General features: G+C 42.7%; 1 annotated feature.

Annotated features, from left to right (window-relative positions):
- Positions 3,266 to 3,474: a silencer, noted in NCBI's record as "fragment chr11:111970495-111970703 (GRCh37/hg19 assembly coordinates)". NCBI's record gives its function as "represses an EF-1alpha promoter that drives an FKBP-Casp9 reporter gene in an ReSE screen in HepG2 liver carcinoma cells {active_cell/tissue: HepG2}" and the evidence as "EXISTENCE:reporter gene assay evidence [ECO:0000049][PMID:32094911]".

The following is an 11,758-nucleotide window of genomic DNA, read 5'->3' on the forward strand; positions in this document are numbered from 1 at the left end:
AAGAGTATGTGTTTATGAATGTGTACTAGGGGTTAAAGACATGCTCTCCTTGATGTGCCTGTGGTCTTGTAGAGACTCAAGTGTGCATTAGGGTTTAGGAAGAGGTGATTAATTCTGTTTTGGGGTGGGTAAAAGGTTTCAAAAGAGGGTGATGCCTGAATAGCAGTGGCACACCAACAGATAGTGGTGGTGGGACCAGTCCACCCTGGTGGGAGAGAATATATAAACAATATTCTGACATTGTTTAGAATTGCTGATGCTTGATGATGATAAAAAACAAATGGACTAAAAGTCAATTTTATTGTTTTAAAATTCTCTATAGACGATCCCCTCCCCACCTTGTAGTGTCATTCCTTCCCTTCCCTAGCTCTCAGTATACTGCTGCTGTAGAGTGGAGTGATGAAATGGAGTCTTCCATAAAGTCAAAATGGGGATGGCAGTGACTCTGGATAATATGGGAATCCATAGCTATCTCTAGTACCATCAGATCCTAGATATACAAGGCTGTCTAGTGCTAATAAGCTTCATTAGATGGTGAACGAAGTTGGAGTGGAGGCTGGTTGGGCACTGCCTGCCCCATGTCCCTGCTGGTTTGGTCATTAGGATGGAGCTGAGCTGTCTTTGGGAAGTCAGTAGGTTGCTGTGAGCTGCTGGAAAATGAGGCAAGATTCCGGAAGGGTGCTGTGGCTCATGCCTGTAATCCCAGCACTTTGGGAGGCTGAGGCAGTAGGATTGCTTGAGGCCAGGAGTTTAAAACCAGCGTGGGCAACATAGCAAGACCCTGTCTCTACAAAAATACAATAAAACAAAAAAAAGATTAGCCGGGCATCACTGGCAGTGGCATGTGCCTGTAGTTCTAGCTACTTGGGAGGCCGAGGTGGGAGAATTGTTTGAGCCCAGGAGTTTGAGGTTACAATGAGCTATGATCATACCACCGCACTCCAGCTTAGGTGACAGAGTGAAATCTTGTCTCTTTAAAAAAAAAAAAAATCCAAGGGCTAACAGCAATAGTAGTTTCTGACGGTAAGCAGGACATGATCAGAACTGTGCTTTAGAAATAATTTGGGTACCATTAGGTGGGTTAATAAGCTAGAGGTAGAAGGACATGTGAGGGGATAGAGACAGAATAAAGGGCCTGAACTTTGAGAGTAGCAGTGGAAGTAGGAGTCAATCTCAAAAGGTATTGTAGAAGTCAAAAACATTAATTCATTCATTTGATAGATACTAAGTACCTCATGTAATCAGCACTGTGCCAGGTACTGTGGATAACGATAAAATTTTACCTGCCTTTGAAGGGAATTCATAGTCTAATTGGGGCAACAGAAGAATGACTGCAATACGGTGTAGTAAGTGCAGTGATGGTGAAGCACGTCATGCGCTGTGATGTAACAAAGGGTGCAGTAAGGATTTGCCTGCAAGTTTCCTGGAAGAGAAGATTTGTAACCTGGGTTTTGAAAGATAAGGAGCTGACAGTGGCTGGGGAAGCTGGGATGAGGTGTAGGGTTGACTGGAGGATGGCAGATCAAGCAAAAGATGATATGTAGTTTGGTATGACCCAGCACAGGGAGGGACTGATTGTAGAGGACCTTATATGCCACGATAAGTAATTGAAACTTTATCTTTTTTTTTTTTTTTTTGAGACAGAGTCTGACTCTGTGGCCCAGGCTGGAATGTAGTGGCGCGATCTTGGCTCACTGCAACCTCTGCCTCCCATACTCAAGACATCCTCCCACCTCAGCCTCTTGAGTAGCTGGGACTACAGGCACATGCCACCATCCCTGGCTAATTTTTGTATTTTTTGTAGAGATGGGGTCTTGCTCTGTTGCCCAGGCTGGTCTCAAACTCCTGGCCTCAAGTGATTCACCCACCTCCGCCTCCCAAAGGGCTGGGATTTCAGGCGTGAGCCACTGTGCCTGGCCTGCGACTTTATCTTGACAGCAATATGGAGTTACTGAAGACTTAATTATGCAAACGGCATGATCCAATTTTTATTTTAAATAGGTTTTGCTGACAGCTATGTAAAGAATGGATTTGTGGGAGGTAAGCATGGAAACAGATTATTTTAGTGACCCAGAAAAGAAATAATGAATTGTGAAGGCAATTGTAGCTAGAATGAAGGAGAGAACAAATTTAAGAAATATTTAGAACTTAGAATCAATGAGAGTTATACTAAGATGTGAACGCTTGAGGGAGGAAGGAGCTTTGCTCAATTTTTTGTTGTAAATAGGTGGATGGGAGGTAGTGTCATTAAAGAAAAATGTTGAAGGAAAATTAGATATGGTACTGGAATCAGTAACTACTGAAGTTTTGGATTTGTGAGACGGCTAGGAAGAGATAGAATTTGTAGACTTCTATTTTTTGGCAATATGGCAGACTCAATTTTAGAAAGTATTTACTTTGATATGAAGCCTGTTAGAATGTTAAACAAGAACACCTTTAAAAATATTTCATTTATTTATTTGGGACGGAGTTTCACTCTTGTTGCCCAGGCTGGAGTGCAATGGCATGATCTCGGCTCACTGCAACCTCCGCTTCCTGGGTTCAAGCGGTTCTCCTGCCTCAACCTCCTGAGTAGCTGGGATTACAGGTGCCCACAACCACACCTGGCTAATTTTTGTATTTTTAGTAGAGATGGGGTTTCAGCTATGTTGGCCAGGCTGGTCTCAAAACTCCTGACCTCAGGTGATCCACCCACCTCGGCCTCCCAAAGTGCTGGGATTACAGACCACTGCACCCGGCCAAAACATATTATTTAGTTTGCAAAAAGAAATCTTCTGGAGCCAGACCAAAGTAAGTCTGCAGCTAGGGAGGTAAGCAAGTGCTTAGGGTATCAGTTGCCCCTAAGAGTATCTACTAAGCCCAGGTGGCCCAGAGTTCTAGTCTTCTTCTTCTTATTATTATTATTATATATATATTTTTGAGACAGAGTCTCGCTCTGTCACCCAGGCTGGAGTGCAGTGGTGCGATCTTGGCTCACTGCAAGCTCCGCCTGCCAGGTTCACACCATTCTCCCACCTCAGCCTCTGGAGTAGCTGGGACTACAGGCGCCTGCCACCATGCCCGGCTAATTTTGTTTTCATATTTTTAGTAGAGACGGGGTTTCACCGTGTCAGCCAGGATGGTCTTGATCTCCTGACCTCATGATCCGCCTGCCTCGGCCTCCCAAAGTGCTAGGATTACAGGCATGAGCCACCACGCCTAGCCATTATTATATTTTTTTGAGTCAGAATCACGCTCTGTTGTCCAGGTTGGAGTGCAGTGGCGTGATCAAACTCACTGCAGCCTTGATCTCCTGTGCTCAAGTGATCCTCCCACCTCAGCCTTCTGAAAGTAGCTGGGATTACAGACTTGTGCCACCATGCCTAGCTAATTTTTTTGATTTTTAGTAGAGATGAGGTCTCACTGTGTTGCCCAGGCTGGTCTCAAACTCCTGAGCTCAAGTAATCCACCTGCCTTTGCCTCCCAAAGTGCTTGCATTATATGCTTGCGCCACCATGTCTGGCCGGATTCTAGTTTTAAGAAGGTGGCACATAGGCCAGGAGAAAAGCTTAGGGCTCAAACCAGGGAGTTAGAATGAAGATTCCCCTAAACCAAGAACCATAAAGAGTTTTGCCCTCAGAGAAAGGGTGAATTAGAAAAAATGATATTTGCTCACACCTGTAATCCCAGCACTCTGGGAGGCCGAGGCGGGTGGATCATCTGAGGTTGGGAGTTCGAGACCATCCTGACCAACAGAGAGAAACCCTGTCTCTACTAAAAATACAAAAAAAAAAAAAAAAAAAAGGGCCGGGCGTGGTGGTGGGTGCCTGTAATCCCAGCTACTCGGGAGGCTGAGGCAGGAGAATTGCTTGAACCCGGGAGGCAGAGGTTGCGGTGAGCTGAGATCACACCATTACACTCCACCCTGGGCAACAAGAGTGAAACTCCATCCCCCCCAAAAGAAAAACTGATATTTATCTGAAAAAGCAGAGAGCAGAGCAATGTGTGTATCTTGCCTTGGCTCAGGTTGGAGGAAAGAGTCTCTTCTGAGAATGTGTGGCTAAGAGCCAGTCCTCATGCCAGTTTGGAGTCCGAGTTCAAGTTACCTGCATATCTAAAAAGGTTACATGGGGCAAATTTAACTTTGACCTAGGTTTGTAGGGCATGGTAGTCAGCACAAATCCTCACCAGAGAGAGAAGGGTTACCCCAACACAAGCTTCAAAAATCCCCATAAAGTTCCAGTGAACGTGAACTGTCAGCAAAAATCACAGTACTGGAATGTCCTGAGCAAGAGTCAGCACAAATAAACAGAACCATACCCACAAAGAATTCAGACCCTGGAATTTTCAGATACACATTATAAACATAAGATGAGATATAAGTCTAAATATAAGTCAGCTTTCTGCTCAGGGATCAGAAAGCTTTTGGAGAGAGTGGTATATACTTGATGTTATCGTCTCAATTCATAGAATCTTAAAAAGTAGATGTCTACTTAGGAGAGTTTTCTCCTCTGGACACCTGATAATGAGTGTCAGGGTCAATTCCCAGTGGGGCTGAATGTTCAGTTTCTGAGACCTAAGCACCACTGTGAAGCATGTATCCATGACTATGGGCCTGGAGCTTCAGAACGGTGTCTATGAGATTAAAATACCCAAATGGTCATTTCCAATGTGGTTCTAACTCTAACTTTCATCAGTGACTGTTTCTAAACTAGTCTTCCAGGCCAGGTGCAGTGGCTCATGCCTGTAATCCCAGCACTTTGGGAGGCCGAGGCAGGCGGATCGCCTGAGGTCAGGAATTCGAGACCAGCCTGGCCAACATGGTGAAACCCTGTCTCTACCAAAATATACAAAAATTAGCCGGGTGTGGTGGCATGCGCCTGTATAGTCCTAGCTACTTGGGAGATTGACGCGGGAGAATTGCTTGAACCCAGGAAGTGGAGGTTGCAGTGAGCTGAGATTGCGCCACTGCACTCCAGCTTGGGTGACAGAGTGAGACCCTGTCTCAAACATATAAATATAGGGCCTGGCACAGTGACTCACGCCTGTAATCCCAGCACTTTGGGAGGCTGAGGCAGGTGGATCACCTGAGGTCAGGAGTTTGAGACCAGCCTGGCCAACATGGTGAAACCCCGTCTCTACTAAAAATACAAATATTAGCCTGCCATGGTGGCTTATGCCTGTAGTCCCAGCTACTCAAGAGGCTGAAGCAGGAGAATTGCTTGAACCCGGGAGGCGGAGGCTGCAGTACGCCAAAATCATGTCACTGCACTCCAGCCTGGGCAACAGAGTGAGACTCAGTCTCAATAAATAATAATATAATATAATATAAATATAAATAAAAAACTAGTCTTTCAGTTGTAGATTATGCTGGTGATGATGGGAGACACAATGTATCTATTGGTATTCTTTTGAGAAACAGAGTTTGTAAATTGGGCATAAGACTATGTATATGAGATTCATTTTTGAAAAAATACAAGATTACTACATACCAAGGATGAAATCTGTTACGGGATGTGTCAAGCCCAGCCTCATAGAGTGTTTCTATAATAGTTTAATATGAAAGCTTATGAAGATTTTAAGAAGTAAATTGCAATATCATCAGGCCTATGTATAAAACTTAAAAACGTAAAACTAAGGGAGGCTGGGCGCGGTGGCTCATACCTGTAATCCCATCACTTTGGGAGGCTGAGGCGGGCGTATTATGAGGTCAGGAGTTCGAGACCAGCCTGGCCAATATGGTGAAATCCTGTCTCTACTAAAAATACAAAAATTAGCCGGGTATGGTGGCATGAGCCTATAGTCCCAGCTACTCGAGAGACTGAGGCAGGAGAATTGCTTGAACATGGGAGGTGGAGGTTGCAGTAAGCCGAGATGTGCCACTGCACTCCAGCCTGGGCTACAGAGCAAGACTCTGTCTCAAAAAACAACAACAACAACAAAAAAACCAAAAAAAAAATAATAAGGGAAAGCTGTAGTCTACCAGAAATGTTATAAACTATTATTAAAAAGTTTTTTTTTTTTTTTTTGAGATGGAGTCTTGCTCTTTCACCCAGGCTGGAGTGCAGTGGTGCAATCTCAGCTCACTGGAACCTCTGCCTCTGGGTTCAAGAGATTCTCCTGCCTCAGCCTCCCGAGTAGCTGGGATTACAGGCACCCGCCACCACGCCTGGCTAATTTTTGTATTTTTATTAGAGACAGGGTTTCACCATGTAGGCCAGGCTGGTCTTGAACTCCTTGCCTCAAGTGATCCGCCTGCCTTGGCCTCCCAAAGGATTACAGGCGTGAGCCACTGCACCCAGCCTCAAATGGTCTTTAATGTTGGTGTTTCTTTGTATATTTGTTCTGGATTATTATAATTAAAATGAACAATACATTGATATGATTAATAAATTAATGCATTGATATGATAAATAAAATGAGTAAGCCTCTTAGGTAAGACTTTTTTGACTAGTACTTTATAAAGTTTGAGCCAGTTTGTCCCTGTCAATTGAGCTATTATTATATTATTATTTTTGCAGCATGAAAATTATTGAGCTGGAGGTAGTTTGGGAGAAACCAAGCAGTATGAAACAGTCTTGACAAAACCAATGTCCTTCCTCTTATCCACCCTTCTACCCCCAATGAGGGCAGAGTGTTGTATTTTAATCCCTCTTATATACAGAAATCAGATTGAACAACTATTGTTATAATACCAACGCTGGTAAAGCTAGAAAGGGCTGTTTGTATAAGGTGGCGGCCTTTTTTTTTTTTTTTTTGAGACGGAGTCTTGCTTTGTCACCAGGCTGGAGTGCAGTGGCACGATCTTGGCTCACTGCAATCTCTGCCTCCTGGGTTCAAGCAATTCCCCTGCCTCAGCCTCTTGAGTAGCTGGGATTACAGGCACCCACTACCATGCCCTGCTAATTTTTTGTGTTTTAGTAGAGACGGGGTTTCACTATGTTGGCCAGGATGGTCTCGATCTCCTGACCTCGTGATCCACCCGCCTCAGCTTCCTAAAGTGCTGGGATTATAGGTGTGAGCCACCGTGCCCGGCCAAGGTAGCAGGCTTTAAAGCATGACCTTTAGCATGCACTTTATTCTTAATGACTGAAATTTGCTTTGGGTGTTGGAGTATCTTTAGTAAGTCATTAGTTTCTTTTCCATTTTTGATTCAGTTGTCTGAGGAAGTTAGGAAACCCCTTTGTTTGCACAATGTGCTGAAATCACAAGCAATCCTGAAAGTTCATCTGTAGACAATATGGATGTTAACTCTTAATCCTTTAGCGTGATGGCGTGTTCTTAATAGAGCTATCAGTTTAGCTGTCTAAGCTGTTGCTTATAAAGTATTCCAAAATGGAATATTTCAAAGTTATAGCATATTTGGTGCAAAGTATACCTTGATTCATTTTTAATTATGAGTCATAATCAAAAGGCAATATATCAGGGTTGTACAGGAGAACATCAGTCAAATCAAGACTGGGCATGCTTAGATTTTAAATATTGGACAATATTGAGATTCCTCTTCATCAGGAAGGGGAAATAGGGCAGCTAGATTTAGATTGGAGCAGTATTTAACAGCTAAAAAGGAAGCAGACAAATAATATAGAAGGTAATGAGCTTGTAATGAGTCCCTAGTTTTGAGTAAACATCACTAAAACAACCAGTCTGTCTTTTTTTTTTTTTTTTTGAGATGGAGTTTTGCTCTTGTCTACGCTGGAGTGCAATAGCACTATTTTGGCTCACTGCAACCCCCACCTTTCGGGTTTAAGCAATTCTCCTGCCTTGGCCTCCTGAGTAGCTGGGATTACAGGTGTGCGCCACCACACCTGGCTAATTTTTGTATTTTTAGTAGAGACGGGGTTTCACCATGTTGGTCAGGCTGGTCTCAAACTCCTGACCTCAGGTGATTCACCCACCTTGGCCTCCCAAAGTGCTAGGATTACAGGCATGAGCCACCGCACCCAGCTGACAACCAGTCTTTCATGTACAAACAATGAGAAGGCTTTAGCATAGTTAGGAAATGCCCAAGTTCGAGATGATTTTGAGAGGTTATTATTTAAGAAAGAAAATGCCTGTTGAACATTTGTATCCTATGGGCAGAGCTGTGAGTTATTAAGTGAACTCATACAGTGTTTTAGTTAATCTAAATAAGTAAACTACCAAACATGTCTAATTATATTTAGTATCTCTCCTTTCATGAGATAATAAAACATTATGGCCATCCGGGTCACTCCAAAGAAAGTTTAGATGTAAAAGGCCTCTTAATAATTCAATCATTCTTCATTTAGGTCTTAAGTTAGGAAATTAAGAAAATTGTCAAAGAAAATTGGCTTAAATATATGCATAAGTCAGGGTGGGCGCGGTGGCTCACCCCTGTAATCCCAGCACTTTGGAAGGCCAAAGTGGGCAGATCACGAGGTCAGGTGTTCAAGACCAGCCTGGCCAATATGATGAAACCCCGTCTCTGTTAAAAATACAAAAATTAGCCGGGCATGGTGGTGCGTGCCTGTAGTCTCAGCTACTTGGGAGGCTGAGACAGACGAATCTCTTGAACCAGGGAGGTGGAGGTTGCAGCGAGCTGAGATCATGCCACTACACTCCAGCCTGAGTGACATAGCGAGATTCTGTCTCAAAAAATATATATATATATATATAGAGAGAGAGAGAGAGAGAGAGAGAGAGAGAGATGCATAAGTCATAAATACCAAAATACAAGAAAACATCTTGCTTTAAAGTGACAATATGCACAATAGGAGGGTTTTTTTTAAGAACTGAGGAGCTTTTGGTTAGATTGATTCAAGAGTGTGATGACAAAGGTACAAAAACTTTATTTAAAGATTGAACTTATTCTGTATTACGAATTTTCTCTTTAAAAATGGTTTATGAGCTTTTTTTGGCTACTAATCTTAATATTTCATTATATGTGTATGGTTATATATATACAAATAGATGGTATTTTAAAGCTTTTGACTAGTTTTTTTTTTTGGAGACAGAGTCTCCCTTTGTCGCCCAGGCTGGAGTGCAGTGGCACAGTCTCTGCTCACCGAAGTCTCCACCTCTTGGGTTCAGGCAATTCTCCTAACTCAGCCTCCCAAGTAGCTGGGACTACAGGTGAGAGCCACCATGCCTGGCTAATTTTTGTATTTTTAGTAGAGACGGAGTTTCACCATGTTGGCCAGGCTGGTCTTGAACTCCTGTCCTCAAGTGATCTGCCTGCCTCGGCCTCCCAAAGTGCTGTGATTACAGGCATGAGCCACTGCATCCGGTCTTGACTAGCTTTAAAATACGGTTAACCTTGTTAGCATAGTATGTAAGCAAGCACATGTATCTTATTGAATTTTTTGCCTTAGTAAACTAAAAATTCTCTTGATAAATAGACAAAACATATCCATTTTCAAGTATATATATGTATATATATAGCAACAACTATATCTAGTGTAGTCTTTTTTTTTTTTTTTTGAGATGGAGTTTTGCTCTTGTTGCCCAGGCTGGAGTGCAATGGCACAATCTTGGCTCACCGCAACCTCCACCTCCTGGGTTCAAGCAATTCTCCTGCCTCAGGCTCCCGAGTAGCTGGGATTACAGGCATGCGCCACCACATCTGGTGGCTAATTTTGTATGTTTAGTAGAGACGGGGTTTCTTTATGTTGATCAGGCTGGTCTCGGAACTCCCGACCTCAGGTGATCCGCCCGCCTCGGCCTCTCAGAGTGCTGGGATTACAGGCGTGAGCCACTGCGCCCAGGCTATCTAGTGTAGTCTTAATCATAGACATTAGTTACAATCATTAACTACAGCAATAAATTTGTTTCCTCACAGACAAGAGAAAACCATCAGGCAGGTGACTAAGAGCTGACACACAGAGTACCTTCATAAACACTAATATCACCCAAAGGCATAGGGACATTCTCTTAAGCATGCTAATTGATGCTCAATATATATAAAAATACAGTTAAAGGCATAATAAAACTAGATTGGTGACCTATGCTTTGTATTTTCTAGCTTACCTAGAAATTGTCCAGGTGTCTAAGGATGATTTACTAATTAACTTAAATAATAGGAGGGGAAAGAGAAGAAATACAGGGTAAATGGCCCCAAATAAGATGGTAAAAAAGAAAACCAGATATGGCACTAATCTCTGACAGAATAAATGGGTTAAATCTACTGGTCAAATTATAGATATCAGGTGAGATAAAACAAAATACAGCTATATACTATATAAGAGATATGATTAAAATATAAGGACGTAAAAAGGGCAAAAGGGATAAAAATGGATATTCTTTCAATACAAACCAAAAGAAAGCTGGTATATATGTATTTATATCATTCAAAGTAGACTTTAGGGCAAAAAGCATTATTAAATATAGAGTCAGGCTGGGCATGGTGAGTCATGCCTGTAGTGGCAATTTGGGAGGCCAAAATTGTTGGATCTCTTGAGGCCAGAAGTTCAAGACCAGCCTGGGCAACAAAGCGAGACTCCGGTTCTATAAAAAAATGAAAATAATAAAAAATTTGCCTGGTTCAGTGGCACATGCCTGTAGTCTCAGCTACTTGGGAGGCTGAGGCAGGAGGATTGCAGGAGCCCAGGAGTTTGAAGTTGCAGTGAGTTATGATCAGCTATTACACTCCAGTCTGGATGACAGACTGAGACCCTGTCTCAAAAAAATAAAAGTCATTACATTACAATAAAAATTCACCAATATGTTATAACAGTCTTGACCTTTATGTACCTGATAATAGCCTCAAAATTTCTAAAACAAAATGACAGAATTCCAGAAGAAAGCATGGAAAATTTCAGGTGTATTTCAGAGGTGGACAGATTAGTTAAAAAAATTAACGACATATTTAAACAATAAAATATTTAACAATAAAAGTAACAAGTTTGATTTAGCGGACATATGTAGAACTTTGTACCTACCCGTAAGAGAATATATGTTCTTTTGAAAAACATACCTGACCATGTATATAGACTACAATAAAAAAAAAAAAAGCCTCAACAAATACTGATGAGTATCACACAGAACGACTTGAGGAGGGGCTCAGGATGCAAGATGTATCTAGTACTTTCTTCTTCTACCAGGAAGATCAAAAATAATGAGTAATGTGTCATCTAAGAGAGAACACTGGAATCCAACAGAGAACTTACAGAAAACACCAGTAGCAAGGAAGGAGAAGGAAGCGAGGAAGTCTGCTCAGCTGGGGTCATCTGGGAACCTATAGAGGCTCCCTTAATGCGGAGAAAGGGTAAGTGAAAGACCCCCAAATGTCCACATTCCCACCATGGTTCCCTGCAATCCTAGCTATAGGAGAGTCCCTTGACCTTTGTGGTCCCTGAGACTAATATAGGGAGCTGCCCGGAGACCACATAACAGCATTGCTCCACAGAGGGAGCTCATGCTGAGTCCTACAAACTCCAAAGTCCTTAAGCAGTGGCAGTTGCCAACCCCCAGCAGACTGAATCCTGCCTTAGGGTCCAACAGCCTCCGCATCTCCACATCCCTGGAGCCCCATTGACATTCCCTATCCACAGCTGCTACCCATGGAAATGCAAGCAGCCTTCTCAGTGCTTTTGTGGCAATCTCAGGATATTCTGCCTTGACTTTAATACAGACTATATGAAGATTTGAAGTTTTCTCAAACATACTTTTAAGGCTACCGTCATTTGCAATCTCAAGCAGTTGATCCTCTTCTAGCATAGACAAAGTCGATTCACTTGGCTTATCCACAAATGGGTCATGGACCCATTCCTTGCCAGTTTGGGGGGTCTTTAGCGGTTGGGAAGTAGCTCTCAAACTCTCT

The sequence above is a fragment of the Homo sapiens genome, chromosome 11, assembly GCF_000001405.40.
Source record: "Homo sapiens chromosome 11, GRCh38.p14 Primary Assembly".
Taxonomy (NCBI): Eukaryota; Metazoa; Chordata; class Mammalia; order Primates; family Hominidae; genus Homo; species Homo sapiens.